The sequence below is a fragment of the Homo sapiens genome, chromosome 14, assembly GCF_000001405.40.
Source record: "Homo sapiens chromosome 14, GRCh38.p14 Primary Assembly".
Classification (NCBI taxonomy): domain Eukaryota; kingdom Metazoa; phylum Chordata; class Mammalia; order Primates; family Hominidae; genus Homo; species Homo sapiens.
The window spans coordinates 36,931,022-36,955,925 of NC_000014.9; the positions used below are offsets into that span (position 1 = coordinate 36,931,022).

General features: G+C 36.6%; 1 protein-coding gene and 1 non-coding gene across 4 annotated transcripts in view; both read right to left on the minus strand.

Moving 5' to 3' along the window:
- Window positions 1-24,904, minus strand: part of SLC25A21 (solute carrier family 25 member 21) — a 494,686-nt gene that overhangs the window by 253,101 nt on the left and 216,681 nt on the right. The window lies entirely within an intron of this gene.
- Window positions 21,288-21,370, minus strand: MIR4503 (microRNA 4503). Its single transcript, NR_039725.1, has one exon. It is a non-coding gene; the product is annotated as a microRNA 4503 (primary transcript).

The following is a 24,904-nucleotide window of genomic DNA, read 5'->3' on the forward strand; positions in this document are numbered from 1 at the left end:
ATCTGACACCTCTCCTCTGGGCTCCCACAGACTCGGGTTCTTTTTCACTCGTGAGTTCAGTGCACTCAAGTTAATTTTCCTCCTCCCCCCTATTTAAAGTAAGGGAGGCTGGGATGCCTGACACTTCTTAGGCCTTCAATAAATATTCCTTAAAGAAATACTAATTGAAAGCTGTAATATTTGCATTGATGTGATGAAAAATCATAAATATCACTCCCAACAGCGAGTAGGAAATTGTTTCTCTGGGGAAGATCATACAATTCAAGTTAAAAGTGAATGGGAGGCTTCTCAGAGGCATTCACTCTAACCTGAGCCTTGGCAAGGATGCAGATAGCTCACCAGGTGGTATGAAGGGTTGGAGTGTCCTAGCAGAAGGAGAAGTCTTTGCCAAGGTGTCGAGGTGAGAGAGAAATGGAGAGCATTTGGCAAACCTGGATAAATGTGGCTATTGCTTTAGAGTGTAAAGAGAAGAGCAAAATGTGGGGGTGGTATGGAAGGCAGAAGCCTGAAAAGAGAGGGCTCTGCATGCTCTGAGAAGGACATTATATTTTCTTGTGTAGACAATGGGGAGCCATTCAAAGATTTTAAATGGAAGGGGAACATTATTGGGGTTACGTGTTAGAGGACTTAAATGGAGAACTGATGAAAGGAGAGACAGAAAGCAGAGAAGAGCACTCAAGAATCTAATGCAGTAAAGCAGGTAAATTCAAAAGACATGGAGTTAGAACATGGAGTTAGAATAGATGGGACTTGGTAACTGACAGGATATAAGGGACAGCCAACTAGGAGGTGTCTCAGAATTTTGCTCTGAGTACTTATGTGAATGGAGATGGCAAATTAAAATAAAATTAAATTAATTTCCAACGATTTCTGAGAATTTCATAATGAACTTTGAGCTAGAGACATTTTGCAAATCAAGGGATATAGTGCTTACAAGAGATGATTACGACACTAGTGTCCATTTGCTATGAAATAGTCATGAAATATGATCCTTTTGGATTATACCATGGATTCTCTGTGTGATCCCAAAGAGTCATTTAATCTTTCTGTGCTTCAGTCTTATAAATTCTTCCATATACATAAGAAGAAAATATATGCTTCTCAGGTAAGTCAATAAAGCAACTCAAAAGTAAATTTGACTATGTGGTAATTTCTGTTTCCTAAAGGCAATATGAAATACAATCTCAATTTCCTCCTCTATTAAAAAAGAATTAAAAGGGGAGAAGGCTTAAATAATTTCAAATGGCCCCTTCAGCTCCAAAAATCAATGGCTCCATAAGTCAGAGCACTCAGTTGGAGTCCACGTTCTGCTCAGGTCAGTGGTTGATACTCAACAAGAACCAAGGGATTTACGGTGGAGGTAGGTTGTCCTATTTAAGCACTTCCTGCTGAGTGAAGTAGTACTTCCTTTTACTTGTTTTAATGTTTTTCTGTTCTTTATCATGTTATCTTTTAATGAGGTGTTTTCATTTGTTTAACAAATATTTATTGAGTGCCTACTATGTGCTGGGCATCATATTAGGTGCTGGTGAAACAAAATTAAATGAGACATGCTCCATTTTGTTGCATTTCTTAACTGTAAGCCATATTCAAGCCAAAATACATCATCTCATAAAGTAATATTTATCATATACATGATCCTGCTCTAGGAACCATGCCAGGCTACCCCATTAAACTTGATGGACCTGAGAATAGTAAAACTATACACTGTATAATGTATTTATAGTATATAGCAAGGCAACAAAGTCCCCCGAGAAGGGAAGGCAGGAAAACTGAAAAATCATCATGTGTGTACTTGGAACTCACAGACCATTGGCAAGCTCCTTGACTATTTCGTGACTCCATTTCTTTATAAAATGGGAATAATAAGGCCTACTTCTGGTATTCCTCATAGGATATTATAACGATTAAATAAGTAAAAGCACATTAATTACTCTGAGCCTTAAAAAAAGAACTAAATAAATGTTAGGCATTGTTGTTTGGTAGAATTACATAAAATCACATTAAAGTCAAAAGCCTACTGTAGTTATTTTAATGGAAGGTTAAATCCCAAGATGAAAGCAGGGTGAGATGAATAACTAAAATAAGGGCACACCCCTAGTTAGATCTAGGTAACAACTAAAATTAAAACTGGAATTAGCTGCATGACTGACAGTTCCTCACACAGGAAAGAACTTACAAGATATACAGTCTGTGTCTATAAAGCTGGATTAAGTGCAAAGGGAAGGTGAACATGAGCCCCACCTGAGCTGACCCTTCTTGGATTTTTAAAAATGAATCTTCTTTCGATTGCAGTTTTCAGAGGGGAACTCCTACTTGGTGGGGATCATGCATCCCCTGAAGGCTATGCTACCAGGTCTCCAGTACCAGACAGAGACATTTCCACCACCGGGATATTTGATGCATGCCGGCTTCAACAGCAGAGCCATTTGTTAACCTTGAGAGGTCAACTGTGATGAAATTTATTCGTTTGTTATCAAAAGCTTTACTTAGATGGTGTTCAAAATGTTGTTATAAAAGATGCAAGCCCTCAAAGAAGATACTTTCTCAAGAAAATTGTTTGGCTAAAATACTCAAAGCTAAAGCAGACACCAACACCAAACAGAGGAGCTAAACTAATAAAACCTTCACCAGCCTCCACATCAGAACTCTCTCTAAACTGAGCAAGAGGAATCAGGAAACTGCCCAGCCCCCTCCTCCAGCCCCAGGATAGAAGCTTCCTGATCAGGGAAATAACAAACTCTCTGCTAGATCACAGTATTTCTTTCTCTTTCTGGTTCTGCACTATAGATAGCCATATACAAGAGAGCAGAGTAGAGTTTCCTTTCTCTTTTCACCTTACTCACAACTATTCTTCTTTCAGTTACTGTAAGGGAATACACAGTAGAGACAGATGAGAAGATTTTTGACTCCCAAGACTTCAGCACCATAAGGTTCTCTGATGCTAAGCATGGCTGAAAGTTGAATGCAAATCTCTAGGAATGGTTTTGACTACAGACTAGCTTTCAGTCAGAGTGGATAAAAGGAAATGATTAATTAGAAAAAAATATCAAAATTTAAGTAGATTTTTTTAAGTTCCAAAACAGCGTTTTTATAATCTGTATTTGGTTAAGCCCAAATTGTTTTAGAAAGAAGTTTATTTGGATAATAAGTAGAAATTACATTATTATTAACCTTTTAGGACTTGAGTAAAGAACAGCTGTCTGAATCTCAGGCAAAGTACATGCCTTTTACTATTGACTATAATCCAGGCGACCTCATAGGCTTTTCTTGAAAGGTGAAAAAATCTTAGGAAGGAGAATCTCTATAATTGAAGTGCTGAAGCAAAAGGAAACCCACAAATTCTAGTAAGTAACACAACTTTCTAAGCAACACACTCCAAGGCCTTAAAATTCCTGGAATCAAATTCTTCCTTACACTTAACCTGTGTCTGTTTTATCTTGGGAGTAAAAAAAAAAAAAAAAGCATGCCATCCCTCGGGAATTAACTCTTCATTTATATTAAAGCTATAAATCACCAGCCACCAAGCACTGACTGAAATTAATATCCTAGTTCCTATGCCATTTCCACTTAACTTCCAATTCACCAGTACTTATGGGGTAAAAAGAAAGTGGTAGGATTCTGCTTCTAGTTTATAAAATATAGTTGTTAAAATTCTCACTTTTGCTCCTTAGAGTTATACACACACACACAGAGAAAAGAGAGAGAGAGAGAGAGAGAAAAGAAGAAGGGCTGAGATTTTTAAAACTTTTTATATGTTGGTGTCTTTTATTCTCAAAACTTTATTCAAGAAACATTAATACTTATTAAGCACTTAGTATGTTTTCCAGGTACTATTTCCATCTTAATTGCCTTGCTTTTTCATTTTCATGAGTTTCATTCCACTAGATACCTCAGATAATCTCCCTAAGTACTACCTTTCCCGCAGAAAGAAAGAAGAAAAAAATCCAACAGCTAAAACCTGTGGTTCTTTATCTTTTTTTTTTTGAGGGCTGTTACCAGGCAACTGAAACTCCACTCTTTCAAATGGAGAAGATAACTCAAAATATCCTAGAAGTGTTTCAATCCACTCTAAATTTCATATCTCGCCACTGCTACCTCCAAACAACTATTTAGGATCCTAAAACCCTGGCTGGTATAGAGTTTCTAACTGCCCACACACTATCCAGAATGCGGCTCTGTCTAAACTCCTTAATGTTCCCCAGGAATCTCCTAACAGGATAATCTTGAATCATCACTGAATTTTTTTATCACCCATATCTTTCCATCTCAACTTATCCTGGAATGGAACAAGCTGTGACCAGGCATGGGACTGACCCAGAGCTTGATTTGAGAGATCTCTCTGTCCCTAGGCCCAAGTTTAATATGGCAACTCTTTGAAGGAATTCTCCCCCAAGGACTATGCAAGTTGAGTCTGCACACTGTGGTTCTCTTTTTAGTTTAGCAATGGGGACTCAATTAATTTTTAGGAGCAAACAGGTTTCTGTGGAAGCCACCTAATGTCTATACTTATCATGACTATTTTTAGTGGAGCGGATCCACATGATCTCCTGATTGGCACTGTTCAACATCTGACCAATTCAATAGTTTAAGTTGTCCTCACTGTCATCTCCTTGAATATACCAGGCTACAGCGTACTGAAGCAGAATAAAACATTCTTGCAAATCTAAGCAAAGGAACCTAGGGGGTGGGATGGGCATCTTTCAAGTACTATCGTGACAATTGTTGTTTATATCTAATTCTGAGATTCTGCTCCCCAAAAGTGTATATATGGTCCCACATTCCTTTCAATCATCCTCTCCATTTTTAATTACAGGGTGTCAATACAATAACATATTTTTAAAACTTTCCTTTGCATATGTATGGATTCTCCATTAAAGAGGGGAACCTTATGGAGTCCTGCAGGTTTAGAGTAAAATTCTATTTGGTTTGAATGTCAAGGCAGAAACAAGTTTGTTTCTAAATGATAGAATAGTTACTCCAGGCTAAGTTATTCCACATTTCCTTTAATTACTGGTACTGGGTTTTTATCTATCAGTACTATCAGCTTTGCAAACCTCAGGCCAACAATCACAGAAGTTGAGACAGCACCGTGAAGGGAAATCAACCTAGTCAAGCTAAAGAAACTTGCATCTGCATTTCTCCCAAGCTGAATCACAAACAGTCCACACCCATCCTGATCCCTCTTCAAATAATTTCTTCATTTACTTGTGTGGCACTTCCTGACAGTAAGGAATGGGCTTGACTGGATGAGCTATTATCTCATTAGGATTTGTGAAGGAACCAAACAGACTGGAATGCTTTCCACCAGCCCCCCTCCCACCACCCCTCTCCATCTCCCGGCCCGGGCCACCGTTTGTACTGTTTGCCTTTTCTCAGTTTCTGTGTTGTCCAAGAGAGATAGATAAGCTCCTGAAATGATTACTACCACCCTGCATTAGCTTTCAAAGCCACTAACAACTTTTCCATGTTTGGTAACTAATGTGTGATAGAAATGTTGACAATGTAAAGCGAGAACTAAACCACAGACCAGAACCTCTCAGAATAAATGGAAATCACCTAAAGGTTCTCTGGGAGCCCCTTCCACAGTTCTGTTCAAAACACGTGTGACTTTTAAGGTAAGATTGAATTTCATTGGGTTTTAATCAGCAGGAATGCCAAGAACGGTAATATAAGTAAACGTATTGGGGTTTTCTGTTTCAATATGATAGTTTTAAAATGAATTTTATTTTTTCCACTTTGTCCTTGTAGATCCAGAAGAAAATCATGCAGTCTCTAAATCTGATATCCTAGAAGAACTACAAAATTTGATATTCATTGAGAAACATGGTAAATCCCCACACAGGAGGAGATCAATGCACAATGCTGTCCCTTCACTTTGCTGCGTGTATTCCTGCTGCTGGAGGCTCATTTATAACAGTGTACCTGGAGCCATAAGGTCATGGCTAGGGTCTCTTTCTATGGTACAACAAGGACAGATGGATATTATAATTCAGCTTGAGAGACTAAAAGAGAAAATAAGGCAGATGGCTTGCTAAATATTTGCTTCATTTCAGGGCCATGCTAAGTTTCCTTTGGCTGTTGATTGAAAGCCTGTTGCTGAAAAAACCCTGAGGCTGCACTGCAGCAACTGCTGTGTCTAACTAAGCCGGGCGATGCTGAAGGCACGTTGCCCCACATTTCTCCACATTGTCTTGGGCTCCTAGAAATAATATAGCCAATGAGGCGCTCTTAGCAACGTTGTTCTCACTTGGGTTGATAAGGAGTGAACAAGTACTCCCTAGCTGAGCTTTTCCTCCCAGAAGACCTCAGACTGAATTAGGAATGCCTTCACAAACAAAGCAAGGAGGAAAATAAACATGCTTACGCTTAACCATATTCAAACGTCAGTGACTGGAACAGCCTTTTTTGAGGCAACATAGTAGAGAGTGACATTGGTTTCCATTGCGGCCTATTGGTGATAAATATGTGATGTGTACATTTAAAAGGGTAGCACTCACTTCATCTGAGCCTTTCTTTTTCAAAACCTACTGTGTGCCTGGCATTGCTCAAGATGATGGAACTACGGTGGTTGAGAGGTAGGAGACAATGACGTAAACTATGCCAACATAATTTTGGATTGTGAAGGAAACAAACAAAGATCGGATAGCATTAATAGGGCTGCGAGGAGACGGATGGTTAGTCCACGTGGGAATGGAGGAAGAATCAGCCACACAGGGAGCCAGAGAAGCCATCCCCACAGAGGACACAGCAAATGCAAAGGCCATGAGGCAAGAAAGAATAGAAAATGCTCAGAAACTCATGGCAGAAAGGAAAGAGTTTTTTTGTGTTTCCATTATTGTTTGATGATTCAGTCTGTATTGGAAAGCTGAGAAATAAAGGAACAAAAGTATACAATAAACAAGTATAGGTTAATTAAATGTGTTTCCTTTTTAAATCCATCTATTATTTCAGACATTTTCTGGAGAGAAGAACAACTTTTTTTAAAAAAAAATTTTTTTTAATGGCAACTCGATATAATGTTTGGCTTGTTTTTTCTTTTGGGTGCTCAGCAAAATGCTGCAAAAATGGTCTGCATGTTAACCCTTGATTTAGATTGTTTTCTCAAACATACTCCCTGAACGCATGCTGTTAAGCTACATATAGAGCCCTAGTGTTGAATCCTTTCTTACTTCATCTTTCTTCGAGAAGCCTTCTCCTGGCAACACCTAGATTTCAATTTAAACAGACTCACGTATGGTAACAAATCAACTCCCCTAGGCACAGAGTGGACTGTGCCAGGCCTTTAACTAAGATTCCACAGGGGTCTACTGATCTAGGACTCTAATTAGGTGGAGTTCACTCATTGCAGGATGACACAGCTCTTCATAAGGCAAAGACCACCTTGTGCATTAATTAGGGCAAAGTTCTGTTTGAGACTCAGTCTCTGGACAGCCTTAGCAGAGCAGCAGGTTTGGTGTCCTTGTCATCTCTGTGTTACGGCCTTCTAAGTCTGCATCCCGCTGAGCCTTAGTCTATGTGCAGAATCAAATACACTTTCTTCTGCTTGGTTGATTTTGATATTTCAATACATGATAAATGATTGCCAATCAATCAGCTGGATCATTGCACAGAAAATCCAATCTGATCATCATGTTCACATCTCGTTGTTTTATTCAATTAATGAACAAACAGGACCAACCACAAAGAATTTTGGTTCCTGAACAATAACTTAGACTCATAAACTTCCCAACAGAAACCTGATGAAAACCAATCAATTTAAGGCACATGTATACAAACATGGCATATGTAATGAGTAAAACATAAATTAGTAAAAAAACAAAAACAAAAACAAAAAACTTCAGAAATCTATATTTCTTATTGCATCACTGAAATAAATCAGTCTCTAATATATTCAGATTTAACTCTCTTATGCTTACTCTTGTTCACTACTCTCAGCTTGTGTTTCTGAAAAGTTTTATGTAAACCCAAGTTCTGTAAACTGAATTGTATTTCAGATACATTAATTTATTGCTTAAATTATAAATCTGTTTGTAATTAATGAAGTCTTCTCAAACATGTCTCTGGTGCAGAGTTGGAATTTCATATAACAGCTTTACTTAAAAGGCAGGTTTTGTTGCAAAATTTTGTGTTTCCCAGCTAATTTGTAACACTCATTAGTAAACCTAAATTTGTGGTCGGACTCATCCATGAAAAAACAAAAGAAAGTCTTATTTCTGTATTCTAAAAAAAGTCGGGTTGGGGGAGCAGTTTGTGTTTCCAAATCATATAAGCTGGAGCCAGGGGTGGGGGGGGAATGTAAATACGAATTCTCTATCATGCATATTTTCTTTTGTGAGGGGTTTGACTGCAATACGATTAAATAGAATATACTCATGTGCACTGCTTGTTAAGACAGCATTTTTTTTGTTAAATGGCCATGTCAAATAAACATGATTTATGTCCCCTTTTTGTTACCCATAATCTTGTTGTCCATCTAAATCTTTGTGACATACTATCTCCAGGTTACCTGGAGCTTTGTCAAATCTCCCAGAACCCAACCTCTCTCCTTTCTCCCAACTTCTTGAAAATCTTCCTCTTGCTGTCCTATGTGAGAGAAACCTTTTATTTTTTAATGCTTTTTATATCAGAAAGACCAATGGTTTATTTGAGGGAAATGTATTTAATATTTAAATACATATAAAAATAAATGGCATACAAACCATTCTACTTACGTTTTATTAAGCTCATTAAAAGGGGATAAAATGGATTCAGAAGACACAGGAACTTAAAAATCAGCGCCATTAGAACCACTTGAGCAAAATCAAAACTGAATGAATGGAAAACATGCACAATTTTAGTCACTGCGAATGTGAACTCACAGAAATAAGAAGATCTGGTTTCTAATTGTTTCACATATCTGTTTTACATTCAGCGTTCTCCTCCACGTCATATTTGCTAAAGAGATCTTCGTCGTCAATAGCAGTCTGCAGTGTACCAGAGCAGAGTTTAAAAATCACCTTAGGTATGTACAAGCCTCCTTTCTCATGTAAGTATTATAGAATGAGAATCTAATAAAGAATGTTACGTGTATATTCTAAACTGCGTATTGCAAAGTTTCATCATTAGACTTGAACTCAGTCAACTTTAACAACGACTACCAGCAGCCCCTTTCAATTAATCTGTTCATACATTACTTTTCCATATAACTAAGCTAGTTTGGAGTTGAAAAGGAAGAAAAATGTGTTTGAAACCACTGATTCTTTTTCATTCATTTTCTTCCAAATTAAAGGAAATGACACTATGTTTATTCCAATATTTTAATAAAATTTTCTCTAAGATTTAAAAAAATATACTACTCTGAATGTAGGTTGGTATTTTTTTTAAAGGTTGCATTATAAATCAAAACTCCTAAAAATAGGAGTTTATGGTGGGATTGACAGTATTTTAACTTTAAAGGCATGAGGGTGTCCTTTTACAGAGGCCTAAATCAAATACAGAAAAAAGTGATGTGTTGCCAGGATGTTCAATGCACTTTCCTTTAATTGCCATATATAGTTAATAGCCTGGTCATTTTTTTCTAAATAAAATAAGTCAGAAAGTTGCAAGCAACTCGATTACACAATATCTTACCATGCAACGTATCAAAAACAAAGAATTTAATCGTTCTGTGGTCTGGGTTGAATTCAACACTGAAATCTTTTCATTGAACTTCACAGCAACAAAGAATTTCAGACTTTCAGATGACCATCTTTGAAGTTGGATAGAACTCTGACCATATTACGATTGTCTGATACTGAAAAAGGACAAAGTACAGAATCCAGTATTCCAACCAAGATTTGGGCTGATCTGAGAAACTGGAGAAAAGTACTGTGAAGGAATTGCAGATATAGAATGACTGGATAGGTCATTTGATCTTGCTTCTGAGACTGAACTTAAAAACCTGTTTCAGATTAAACAGCATTTCATTGCTTTCTTTTTTCTTTTTTTCACACAAAAATACTCCTACAGATTAAAAGAAACCATCAGAATGGAAGTAAAAGAATTATGCAGTATATATTATATCTACATAGGTCCGGAAAGTTCCTGAAATTTACTCAAGCTTTACTCAAAATATTGACACTATTTAGTATCAAACCAAACTCCGGGAGTACACAGAGGGCCTTCCTACAATGCATGTGATCAGGGACAGCAATGATCTTATCCCATAATATATCACAAAACAGTGGAAAAAAATCATCTCATATTTTTAGAAATCATGCTCTTATTAGCTCAAATATATAGTTTAGGCAGTCAACATTTTGTGGCTTCCATCATTTTCAAAGATTATGCTGCACAAAATTGTATAGAGAGTATTTTGACTTACACATTGACTTTTTTAAATATAGGAGTGATTGTAGCAATAGCATTGATTGTAGCTTTAATTTACATTATCAAGAAAACTACACCAAATAAATTCAAATTATATTTATATAATTTTGATATAAATCTTGAATCAGATAAGTCTCAACATTTAATAAATGTTTTTACCACATTAATTTGCATTTTAACAGTATTTTCCGCACAGAAAATCTGTGATGCATATTTAATTATGGCATGGAATTTTTTATTATACTTTCTTATGTAGTTTAGAATATATAAAATTAAATATAATTATACTTTTGTTCACAGAATAATTTTAAATGCTATTCTTCATTAATGGTCAAAATATTAACTGCTAATTATTGAAAAATTCAAATTTTTATCTCAAGAAGTAAATTAAAAATACAGAAACTGAAAAGTATACAATAAAATACTTAAATACATAATTTTAGAGGTTGTGTGAAAATAGTGTCTTTATTTGAAATATTCTGAAATAAACATTTTTTCAAATGTTTAAATAAATTTTTTTTAAATAAACTTAGAACATGTAATTAGATGAAGCAAAATCAATGATACATCAAATTACATGCACATCATCAGAGGAGAAATAATTGTATCAATGTAAAAAGCTAAACCTAAAATAACAAAACTGGTAAAATTTTGTTCTTATGACTCCGGAAATATGCCATCACCACTTTATATTTATTTTTATTACACGTGTTTAATTTTCAATTAGTTAGACTATTATTCATTCTCTTACAATTAACACCGAGCTTAAGAGTTTGAACTAAAAAAAAAAATCACCTAGCTGTTTCTAATGACTTAAATTCATTATACCTTCAATTCTTTTTGAAACTGAAATTCTTCGCGATTAGAAAGCCAAGTGTCCTGAGAATATTTTTGCTTAAATCTAGTCCAATTTCTGAAACAATATAAATACACAAAAATATGCCATACATGCAAGGTACACGTTCTTAAAGAAGCTGGAAGCTTCGCTGAACTATCTTGGGACAAGAACTAAGCAGGGAGCAGAACCGTGCTGGCACCTAGTGGCGGACGGCGGTAGGACAGTTGTCTACCTTGGCTCTCAGGCACGTTGGGAGAACACATTTTAATTATTTTAATCTATGCTTTCTATCACACATATTTGAAAGGAAGATAAATGAAAAGTATCTGGAGTAATTAATCCTAACTATGCAACCAAATGTTATGATTTTAATTTTATGCAAGGACAGAAAGAAAATTTGGAGGGGTAGAAGTGGTGGAGAGGAAAAAGACCAGCTGTGGTGAAAAATATAACGTGGTGAAAAGACTTGTGCAATTTTCTTTTCCCTTGATATGTTCTGCCAAAGCTGGTCACACTAGTCTGTTCTCCATCAAGCAAAGAATTTTGATGAAATCAAGTGACCGGCTGTTTGTGAAGTTCAGTCTGTATTTGGGACATAAGTAACCAAATAGTACTTATACTACTTATACACTAAATTTGGAGTTTTCAAACTAAAATATTATGTGCAGAGGTATAGTTATTTTTCCTTCATGGCACTTTTTAGTAGGAGGGTAAATTTAGATTTGAGCCCCTCCCCTAGTCCACCCCCATCTTTTGGGACTGGGGAAGGTATGGTTCCAGTAGAGAGCTGCTTCTGCCTTAGAAGGCAATGAGTCAGAAACGCAAATCTGAGCAAAGGCGGAATTACTACTACATGCCAGAGAGAGTCACACATCAGTCAAGTCCACCAAGTGAACTCTATAGTCTTCCCAATTGTGAGACTCTATGATTTGCTGAAGAAAGAATTCTATTATATTTTCCTACATAGGGAGATAGATTTTAGTCACTGTCCCTGTGTTTAAGACTGAGTCTCACTCTGTCACCCAGGCTGAAGTGCAGTGGTGCAATCTCAACTCACTGCAGCTCTCTGCCTCCCGGGTTCAAGTGATTCTCCTGCCTCAGCCTCCCGACTAGCTAGAATTACAGGCACGCTCCACCACACCCGGCTAATTTTTGTATTTTTAGTAAAGACACCCTTTCACCATGTTGGCCAGGCTGGTCTTGAGCTCCTGGCCTCATGTGATCTGCCCGCCTTGGCCTCCCAAAAGTGCTGGGATTACAGGCATAAGTCACCGCACCTGGCCCTAGGCTTGTTTTGTATCATGTCTTAGACATGTAGGGGTTTATTTCAGAGCACACAAATGAACTATTCTAAGTATTCACACTATTGGAGGGCTGCTTCTGTCCCTCTGAGTCCCTGCCCTGCTGCTATATGTAAGACCAAGATGAACTGCCCCTGGTAAATCGGTCCTTGTGAAAGTCTGGGGAAATGCCAGGTAACCCAGTGACAGTTCCACTTGGCTCTTTGTAGCTTACACAGTACCAAACCTGAGAGAGCACTGCAAAGTCAGGTCAGGAAGGTTTCGCCAAGGCTTGGAAATAAGAACAGGGTATGAGTCTTATACCACCTAACTGGGCCTTCCAGTTAGCAAGAAGCCTTTGTTTAAAAAGCTGGCTAAGAAACCTCCTAGTAACATATTTCCCTGTAACAAGTTTAATTAATTAATTGAAAAAATACATAGTAAAAGATGTTTATATTAAATATAAAATTATCACCACTAAATTTATTAGAGGAGATAAAAGGCAACAGATTGGGCCTAATTCACTCCAAGAAAAGGATACCCAATTCCCTCTGAAATCCCAAATTCATACATATAAAAATTCTGCTCTAATCCTTCTCCATTTACATCACAGAGCCATGCTCCCGTGTTGGCCTCTGTACTGAAGAGTGACCAGAGGTAAATGCAGGTGCCTCTGGCCAGTTGTCAAGGTCATATCCTGAATCCTGTCGACACCTGGGACCCTAGCCCAGCATACTGTCGGGCAAGGACAAACCCATAGCCTGCCATTAATAGGGGAGGAAAGACATGTGGACAAGTAGCAGACAAAAGTGATTGTCCCAGTGGGCTTTGAGAAATTGTTATGGGAGTCCAGAGGAAGAAAACTGCCTTCAGCTTGCGGTAGGAGTTGGCAGGTTGCGGGTGGAGGGCATAGGGTATCAAGGAAGGCTTTCTGAAGGAGGCAGCTGGGCCTTGAGAGATGACTAACACTTAGTAAACCATGCTGGGGGAGGAAACATCACAGATAGTGAGAGGATCTCCTCTCTCCCTCATCCACACAGGCTGTGGAGAGCGACATCTGTTCCACAGTCTTCTCCCTGAAGGGTGGGGCTCCAAGGGCCGGCTCCAGTGTAAGCATAAACAAGTGACTACGAATGTCCTATTCAATACACAAGAAAACTCATGAACATTTGTAAAGCATTTCTAAGCCACAGAATTCATATGTGCCTCCTTAACAAAGATAAATTTCACATTTTTCCCTTTCTCACAGTTTGTCCCATCTTCTCTCATTTTATTGAGTAGAATGAGCCTTACCTCAAAAGCCAAACAAACACTGACCCAAGATGAGATGCCCTAAAGCTAGGTCCACTGCCTGAAGCTGACTCATCCCATCACAGTTTATTTTTGTTGTGTGAATCAATTCTAATTTTCAAACTGAAATATATGATGGTTTATCATCATTTTGACCTTTTCATAACACTGCTGGTACAGTTGCTGAGAACATGCCAAATCATGTTGATTTCTTCCTTTTTCTAGGAGTGTTCATCCTAGTCAGTCTTCTCAGGACAACCAAAAGCCAAAACCGAAACAAACCAAAAACCTCTTTCCCCTGACTCAGATTATTATTATTTTTAGTTCTTCAGGACTACCTGTGAGGATAAGAAGAAGTGGTTACCCAGTCCATCAGCAAAATGTCCCCATAATCCTTTCAAACTACTGAGAAATAAGGTATGTTATCTTCACTTAATGAAGAAACTGAGACATAAAAGTAAAGAATATTGCTACAAATGGAGGCAGAAATACAAGTTGATACCATGTGCCCAAGTGAGACATCTCATTTTTAGCCTGTGTAAGACAAATTTTAACCATATAATCCAGAAAATCCACTTCTGGGCATATACCCCAAAGAACTGAAAGCAGAGACTTGAAGAGATATTTGTACCCCCACATTCACAGCAGCGCTATTCATGAGAGGCAAGAGGTAGAAGCAACCCGTGTTCATCGACAGATGAATGGAAAAACAAAATAAAGTATATCCATACAAATGGAATATTATTTAGCCTTAAAAAGGAAGGACATTCTGACACATGCTAACATGAATAAACGTTGAGGACATTATGCTACATGAAATAAGCCAGTCCTAAAAGGACAGATACTGTGCAATTCCACTTATATATGGTATATACCTAGAATAATCAAATTCATAGAAACAGAAAATAGAATGTTGGCATCAGGGGCTGGGGGAGAAGATAATGGGGAGCTAGTGCTTAATGGGTACAGAACTTCAATTTTGCAACAGGAAAAGAGTTCTGGAGATGAATGGTGGAGATGGCTGTGCAATAATGTGAATGTACTTAATGCCACTGAACTATACACTTAAAAATGGTTAAGATGGTAAATTTTATGTTATGTGTATTTTGCCACAATAAAAAACTAACTTTATTTAATGAAGAAAAAAGGTGAAAAAATTTCACCATTCAAAGTCCAAAATAAGAATTTGAATATATAAACATAAGCAAGCTAGCAACATAACCTCTAGCCCTATGATGTACCTATTATGTGAATGCTTCCGTTAGCACAAGAAAAAAGGATCAGATAAATTAGTGAATACCTCAAGGATGTAAGTAGAAACATTTTAGATTTATAGCAAGAAGCAAGTAGAATGGTGTTATCAACTGCTTATAAATATTAAACACATAGGAGACAAGTTTGCAAATGCAAACTTACTTCTTGTCATACTGTACCAGTGTAGTACAAATTATATCATTAAAATACAATGTTAAAAGCTTTAAAGCGTCAAGGATCTCACAATCCATAGGTATGTTCAAGAATTAAGTCCTCTTGTTTCTAAATAATGTCTGTATTTAGTATCCAGTAGCCATCATTTGTACAGGAGAAAGAAAGTGAGGGTAGTTAGTTTAAATGTAATTAATTAAGTTTACCATGAGTAAACTTATATTTGATTGACTATTAATACCAATAAATAAATGATTCCATACGTAAATAATAGCAATAGTAATTCCAATGAAAGTTTAGTGTTTGTGTCCTTAAATCTTTCAATGGCATTAACATGTGCCCTTAAACTTCTATTTTGCCTGCCTGGTATAAATAGAATTAAGAAAAATATCTTAATGTTAAATACCAGGTAGGTGAAACTTTTCTTCCCTAAATAATTTCTTCAGGTGTGTTGTCACATTTCTCAGCTGACCAATTAATTAAAATCTAGGTAACAGTTGGTTTTGCTCAACGAATGTCCAGCCTAGCAGTTCAGTGAATGATGGCCACCCCATAATCTCAATAATTCCTCCAGGATGTCAGCTTGTCATGGCCTGACCATGAAACATAACTTGACAAATAAAGGAAGTGAGTTACTATACAAACCAACCTGTGCTCAGACCATGTTTTAATATTTTATATGTGTTTATCTGGCATAATATTATAGTATTTTTTCAGTCTGTCTTGTAGCAGTTCATTCTGGACACTATTTATCTTTAGTAATAATTGCTTTTAATGCCAAGAAATTACTTTATTCTATATCCTCCAGCTCTCCTAGACCCACCTCATGTGTTCAGCAAAAGTTTCTAAGTCATCAACTACTTTACTCTTTGGCGGTTTCAATTCTAGCCTTTTGAAACAGCCCATAAGTGATAATGAAATGCATAAAGCAATGAGAAACAGAATCCAATTACATCTACCTGCATAGTTCAGCTGCACACCAAGTAACAATAAACAGGCATTCTTAAGTCACAGCATTTCACTGGAAATGGGGCAGAACTTGTGTATTTTAACAACTTTCAACAACAAGTAACCACTACAGCATTTATTTTACTTTCTGAAAGAAAACCAGAGAAGGTTCATAATTTAAACCAAAGAGTCTTTCAGTCTTGAAGACAAAAAGCACTTCTGCTCAGCACCTGAGTAATAATGTGGGATGTGTACAGGTGAATTAAGAAGACTGGCCTCAAAGATAGTTTGTCTTCAGCTGGTCTGAAATGTCTGACTCCTTTCCAGCCCTGGGATCATTTATTATCCAGCAAAGAAAGGCTGGGTTTTTGCTCCACAAACACAGAGCTGGTCCTCAGCTTATGATGATTTACCATGTCTGCTCCGTAATGCATGACACACACTGCTTCAGAATGGCTTCTCCCCATATATAGACACACACATCTGATGATATTTTAGGTCTGATTTACTTTTGTGCCATTGAAACCAGAGTGTTCTGGTCACCTGCATACATTTTCTCTCTCCAATGTGATACTCAAAACACATTTTAGGGGGTATTTTATATTAAACCATATGTATCTGAACATATACAGTGAAAGCATCTCAGGTTTTATTAGGTTAGTAATCCGATATTCATTTTTCCTCTTAGAAGGAACTGTCTTTAAGACCTAGAGGTATTGCACCCAAAACACATTTCAGGCATTACTCGATTCTAAATGATATGTATGTGGAAATAAATAGTGAAAGCTTCTCAAGGAATGTTGAGTTAGTAACCAGATATTTCTTTTTCCTTGAAGAAGGGACCATCATTATTCCAAAGTATGAATATTTTATAACAGCACAGAAAAATATATGGCATTATAAGGGGCTTTAGCTCTGATAGAAGCGTGCACACATCAGTTTAGAAATCCTAGTTCTTAAGAATGCAATTCTGACTTTAAATCTACACCATGTACACATTCCCTGACAAATATAACTAGAATTACTGCCTTATTTATGACATACCTAGGTGTGCAGACTATATGTATAAAGTCAGTGGCTTCGATTTTTTTATTTGCCACTCTAATTAACTGGGATAATACAAGTCAGAAAACAATAAATTCTTAGTTGGTATATAGCTTTATTTACTTTCCTTAGATATAATGGTAGCGCATACAAGTGGATTCAGTTATGCTTGTCATTCTCTGCAGGCATAAGTTATAAATCTGTCACAGATAGTTTGGCATAGCTAACAAGTTTGCACTCAGAGAAAACTGTTCTGTAGTAATAAGCAGAGAACAGATAAAAATAATAATAAAGAATCATTGAATAAGACCCTGCTTGAAGATAATGAAAGTAAAAAGACATCTAGTAGAAGAACATCATAAAATGATCAACATTAAAAAGCAGAGTACAGTTACTCCACAGTATCAAATTGTGATGAAAAGTTTCGCTTTCTAATTCTCTATGTCTAAAGTTATGCTGCCAAATATGTCAGCCACTAGCCACAAGTGGCAATTGTGCACTTGAAATATGGCTAGGCTGAACTGAAATGTGTTGTAGATATAAAATGCACACCAATTCCAAAGACGCGATACTAAAAACAGAATGTAAAAGACCTCATTAATATTTTAAATTAAATATTATGTTAATATTTTAAATTATGTTAAATAAAATGTATTACTAAAATAAATTCCACCTGTTTCTACTTTTCTCTAATGTGGCTATTCAAAAGTTTGGATTTGTCATATATGGTTTGCATTATATCCCTATAGGACAACACTTGGTCTAAAAGATAAAGTCACAGAATGTGAAAACCAGTTGAGAACTTACAAATCATCTTGCCCAGTCTGTTGCATTTGACAAACAAGGAAAGTGAGGCTTACAGAGATCGAGTGATGGGCTCTGGTTAAGCCAGAATTAGAATTGGATTCTCTCAGAGGCCAGTGTCTGAATATCAGTCCAGCTTTCTTTGAGGGAGAAAAAGAGAGATAATGACTTGTCTCAGTCACCACAATCAAAAGTACATTCCTTTCAAAACCCTCTTCTCATCTTTGGAAATGTAATACCTATAAGAAGCTTTGATCTTGACTTATAGTCATCTATGTAATCATCTTCATTCTCCTCTTGACCTTGGTGATGGACACACCCCAAGGCATGCCTCTTATATACTGTGAAAATTGTTTGTATGTATCCCAATGAAGATTTTTAATTCACATTATTAAGGCAAGTTATTTAGAAAGTGAATACATTTGTAAACCAAACCAATTTAAAATAAACTTTAAACTTGTCTTTAAAGCACAATAAAGGTTAAGTCATTTTTCCCATGAGCTCTAGTTTTCTTTCTCAGGAATTCTCCACCTTGTCCCCTGCCTCCTCTGCACTTCCTCCCCGCTGCCTGGCCCCATGCCTACTCAAAGGGCTTCTCCTTTCTACAGTCAGTTCCCTGTTTATGGGATTTTTTTTTCCTTCGTTGAACAACTTTCACATTTTATTTTTACTGTTATTGCCATGATATCAAGTTTAAGTTTATATATTAATGTCCATTTCTAGATTCCTATTTTCTAAAAGTCTAGAGTTGAATTGGGACAGTAAATGGAAAACAGAGGAAACAGGAGATGCTTTTCTCAACTCTGAGACTTTTAGCCTTCAGTATGGGTTGAAGCATTTTTCAAAGCAGGCAAATAGACAACAATGGGTTTCTTCAAAAAGGTGGGGGAAGGGGCTCTGGACACATTCTGCATCCAACATGTACAAGAAAACTCTGGGTTAAATACAATTAAACAGTATTCTTTTCCAAAGTACATATCAGAGACTTTATAACGGTAATGTACAGTCTGACTCTCCAAGAAGGGGATGTAGTATGCAGAGTTCTCCAAATCTATTTAAATACTGTAAATGCTGTTCTGACAGAGCATCTTAGGAGACTAGTATTCCATAGAACATATTTTGGGAAACCTTGAACCATGTAATTTGTCGCAAGGTACCTTTATAAAACCACATGTCACCTTTCACATTTATATTATTTCTGAATAACACCCATGATTTTGTTCATTATTTATCCAATAAACTTTGATTAGCTTGTTATGGATTGAACTGTGCCCCCCAATTCATAGGTTAAAATCCTAATCCTAATGTGACTACATTTGGAGATAGGGCTGTTAAGGTGGTAATTAAGATTAAATGGGGTCGTAAGAAGGACCTTCATCCAATAGGACTAATATCTTTATAAGAAGAGGAAGAAATACCGAAGATATATTTCTTCCTGAAGGTCACATGAGAACATAGCAAGAAAGTTGCCATCTGCAAGCCAGGAAGAAAGGTCCCACCAGCAACCAACCTGCCGGCACCTTGATCCTGGATTTTTGGCCTCTAGAACTAAGAGAAAATAAATTTCTGTTATTTAAGCCACCCAGTCTGTGGTATATTGTTATGGCAGCCCTAGCAAATGAATTCACAATTCCTATTATGTTTAGGAGATGCAAACGGTGAACAGACATAGCCCCTGGCTACTGGGAATTTGCATTCTAGTTCAAGGGCAGTGTGGGAAATACTGAGTAAGTTTCTTGTATGAAGCTAATCAATTACTTGATACAGAGTCAGCAGCTTGTTTCCCCACAACCTAACATCCAACTGACATTCTTATTGCACGGGAATACTCAAATTATTTGTTTTGCAAATACCTAGCTGAAGAAATGAGCCAGCTGGACCTCTTACCTCTCTCTCATTTTCTGGAAAAACCTGGAATTGCAGCAAGGAATGCATATTCTAGGCTCCCCTCCACAACTGCTCTCCAGGAGCTCAAGGCTCTACACCCTCCATTTCCTCAGCAATGGCTGCAGGAACCACAGTGAGCCCTCTCTGCCCCCTAACTCTCCAGAAGAAAAACAAAGCAACCTGAAGTCAACCCCATCTGTCATATACCCTAGAGGCAGTCTTCTCTATCTGTTTCAGAGACAATGTTTTGGTAACTAAACCACTAACCAAAAACTACTCACTACTTCTTTAAAAATACACAAAAAGAGCAATAGTTTAACAATAGTTTGCCTTCTCTACTGCCATTACAAAAAAAAAAAAAAAACTATAACCAAATAGCCTACTTTAAAGCAATCAATTCTGTTTAGAAAGAGGATTCAAGCAACATAATACCTTAAAATAGAAAGAGAATGTTAAAAAATAATAATAAACAGGAAATGCAGGGATTGCTGACTAGTTATATTATTTCCACTATTTTTTCCACAGCACTGTCTCTAAATTATTGAACTCTCTGCATCTCAAAGCCAAACCCCTTACAAACCAATGAACAGACCTTGATTATTCTAGCCATGTTGCTGGAGCAAATAAAACAAATAGGGCCTCTCTTATCCACAGACACGTCCATTCAACAAAGTCCTTATGTCTAAATATTTGTGCAAGGTATGCATTTTTTTTTTGCAAAGAATTGTTTTGCAAAAGCATCAACAAATAATTTAAAATAATAGTACTAAAGCAATTCAATAACTATTAAGATGATCCAGTCTAGGCCTGGCTGGTGGAAATATTGCACAATTCTACACACAAACAACACAGAATCAATTCAGAGCTTCTAATACAGGCTTCTAGGTTATCCAGAGATCACAACTGCTAAGACCCTGCATTCTGAAAGCCCACAAAATGATTCGCTGGTTACATATACTACAAGTAGAGGACTCCTGCAATGACTTCATTTTTGCCCATGCTTCAGGTAGTCTTGCTTCAGGTACAATGAAAGCAGAGTAAACTTGGGCCAATAAAAGAGAATCAGGCAGGGTGCAGTGGCTCATGCCTGTAATCCCAGCACTTTGGGAGGCCAAGGAGGGCAGATCACTTAGGTCAGAAGTTCAAGACCAGCCTGGCCAACATGATGAAACCCCATCTCTACTAAAAATACAAAATTAACTGGGCATGGTGGTGCGTGCCTGTAATCCCAGCTACTCACAGGCTGAGGCAGGAGAATCACCTGAGCCTAGGAGGTGGAGGTGCAGTGAGCCGAGATTGCGCCACTGCACTCCAGCCTGGGCAATAGAGCAAGATTCCATCTCAAAAAGAAAAGAAAGAAAGAAAAAAGAAAGAATCAGAGTAGAATAAATAAATGATTGTCTTCTTTCCTTTGGTTTTTGGCAATGTAGATATTTAAGCAGGAAATAGAAACAAATAGAAATTTATATGTAAATTCTATTTCCTGCTTAAATATCTACATTGTCAATTTCAATTTGTGGGGAGGAAGTCATTTATTATTTCTTGTTCTTAAAGATTCTTATATTTACATGTCTATTGTTTCTGTTGATAAGTTTCTTAAAAGGTAGAATTCTTTTCTTAATTTTATTACTATACTATCACATGTAAATGGTCACTAAATGTAGGAGTCTCATCCTGAGCAAGGACAAATGACATTGTATTAGAAACAAACTGTAGACCGAATAAGTCTAGACTTAAAAAAAGTCCCACCATTTTCCAGATCCTTGGGGTTTAAACTGACAATTCTTGGGAATGCCATGATAAAATAACTAAGGGTAAAAACAAGACAAAACAAAAACAGTGATTCCTTAGCGTTGTGACAATAAATCCCCAAATACAAGGGTCCCATTTTTATCCAGTCAGCAAGGGTGTGGCCTTGGGCAAAAAGACTACACCTTCTGTAGCTTGGGTTTGGTTCCCAAGTTGTCATGTTTCAGGAATGAAGAACGGGATATTCAAGAAGACTTCTCTCAAATGACGGGCTATTTACAGAGCATTTAGATCTGGTTACTCATCTATCATCAAGCTGTGGCTATCCAGTGTTCTCTGGATCCTTCAGTGGTGTTGTGGAATTTGATTTTTATCATTTTGCTATTCTACCTCTGCCTCTATCTATTTAGTTTTGAGGTATCAATTGCCTGTATTATGGTCCATGTCTAAACACTGCTTTTGGTTATCAAGGGTTGAATATCAGAAAATATTTAGTTAACGATAACAAGATGTACTATAAGCTATTACTAATCAGCAATGTGCTTGAACTTTAAAATGTTTCTTAATCATCAACTTTTGAATTTCATATAAATATAGCAAGATATTTTTGGGCTGCTTTGTGTAAATGGCAGGCTGAGCTAAATAACAAAGCTCATACTAATATTTTTCTATGTAGCCCAAAAGATTCACATTGTTTATAACATAAAGATGGCATAAACAGATGATATTAATAAAATTTAGTCATACATCTCACTATATAGTCATATAGATAGCATATATAGTCAGAAATACAAAATACAAAGAAAAAGTCAAAACAGAACAAAACACGATTGTGAAGTTTATAAGTGGTTAGCTCAAAACTGAAAAAAATATGAATCCCTGCACAATGTAGGTTAACATTCAGTAGATGACAAAATGAACAGAGGTAAAAATTCTTAGATAATTTTCTTTATTTCATATCGCAAACAAATGGCTAAAAGTTAGTGTTCCTTACTGGCAGAAACTCATTTTGGCACAAAGTTTTTCAACATAAAAATTTTTTCAGCATAAGACCATAAACAGTATTTCAAATACTACATTTGCTATTAATTGGAAAGACAGAGTATAAATCTGTCACTTCGGAAATTATCATCACAATAGAGGAATTTCTTCAAAAATACTTACCACATAGGCATTTTAGACACTCTTGTGGTTAAGAAATATTAAATTTATTAGATATTTAATACATGCTTAAGTGTATATTATGTGCCAGACACTCTGAAGGGAAAAAAATTGTAAATAGCTTGGTTTTCCAACTGCCTACTGGACATCTTCACATGGAATAATTAGTTTTTTCAATAACATTCTGACTTTATTTGACATCTACAATGTATTAGAAACTGGAGAGTCAAAGGTGAATACAACATGATTCTGTAGAACCAGACTATCATACTGGTGGCCACAACCAAACTGATCGTCCCATCTCTTCTAAACCTGCTCTCATTTTTATTAATTATCATAGTCACTCAGCTGAAACCTGAAAGTCAATCTTGATGCATCATCCCCAGTAAAAAATGTCTCTGATTGTCCTTTGTAATTTCTGCCTCATGTTTCTTCTCCACACCCTTTTACGGAATTCTCTCCCTCTCATCAGGACCTCCCAACTGGCCTCTCCACCTTTGTTGTCTTTATCCTCCCCCCATCCTAGAGAAGTCCTCCTTAGCATAATCCTCGTCTGCTAAAGACTTTCCATTTCTCCTTACTAACTACAGAGGAAGGCCTGAAATCTCTAGCTTGACTTCCCAACGTCCTTGCTGATCTGACCCCAACTTAGGTTTCCATTATTTTCTTTATAAGGAAAACACATACATACATATATATATATAAGAAATAATATATATTTAATTGGAATTATATTTTTAATTGACACATAAAATTCATATATATGTATCATGTATAATATGATGTTCTGAAATAGTCCAGATCTATTGTTCAGCATGGTAACTATAGTAAATAACAATGTATTGTATTTTCAAAATCGCTACGAGAGTAGATTTTAAGTATTGTCACCACACAAAAAAATGATAAATATGTGGGCTAATGCAAATGTTAACTAGCTCGATTGAGCCATTCCATTATTTTCTGATTCCTCCACTTGTCCTTTCCTTTCCTTCCTCTACCTTTCTTCATTTTCTTTGTACCTGCAATGACTTCCCTCTACTTCCACCTATTTAAGGGAGGCACAAATTCTAGGCATCCTTTAAGGCCCAGCTCAAATATTGCCACTCCTAGGATGTTTAGCCAGAGCCATCCAGCTAGAACCAATGATTACTTCTGCATATGTACCTCCCAACCCTATATATAACTTTCTAAGGACATGAGCCACTTTCTACTTCATATTTGGGGAGTTTTTGCATGTTTTTTCTCCACTCTACTTTTGAAGCCATCTGAAAGTTATCTGTCTGATGTGTCTTTGTACCTTCCTCAAAACCTGGCCTAGTGTAGACATTCAATAAATGCTTGTTAAGTGGGTGAGTAAATGAAAGAATGAATGGGCAAACAAACTAAAAATAACTAAAGATGGACATGGTAAAATTCACTTGAATGGTATAATCATCAAAAAAGAAGAATGCACTCCATTGCTCAAGAGGTTATAATAACTAGGTATAATGGCTGACATTATGAAAGAAAGAATTTATGCTAAGTACTTGGAAGATTTTCCCAAAGGATTACTTTTGTACTGTGATAATTTCCCACTTAGTAATGAAAGAAAATTATCACTTGGACTGATACCAAAAGTTTTCCTATTTTTTGTTATAACTCTTTTTATTCATACTGGAAAGGACACTTGGGGACAAGTCTATCCTGTCATTTAGATGGCCTACTTGACTTGTTGGTCTCTTATATTTCTGGATTTTCTGATTTTTTTTTAGCCACAGGCACTGCTAGTAGCAACTCACCATTAGTCATGAAGATTTTAACTGCAGGCACATTAGAGATGACAAACCAAGATTAAAGATGTATGATAAATGTGGTAAAAGCCCCTCTCTTGATTTTTCACATCTACACATCAAGATTTGCACCTCTGGTAAGGAATACATAGGCCTAAGGTTGTTTTTTTTTGTTTTTTGTTTTTTCATTGAAGAGAGTAATTCATCTTGTGGAATGATATCTGTGAAACAACTTAAGAACTGTTGCCTGTGAGGAGGTGGGACATAGAAAACAGTTTCCACACATACACATACAAAAAGTAGGGACTGTTCAAATCCCAGCTTGGTCCTACCCTTTGGTGCTGGTCAATAAACTTGGT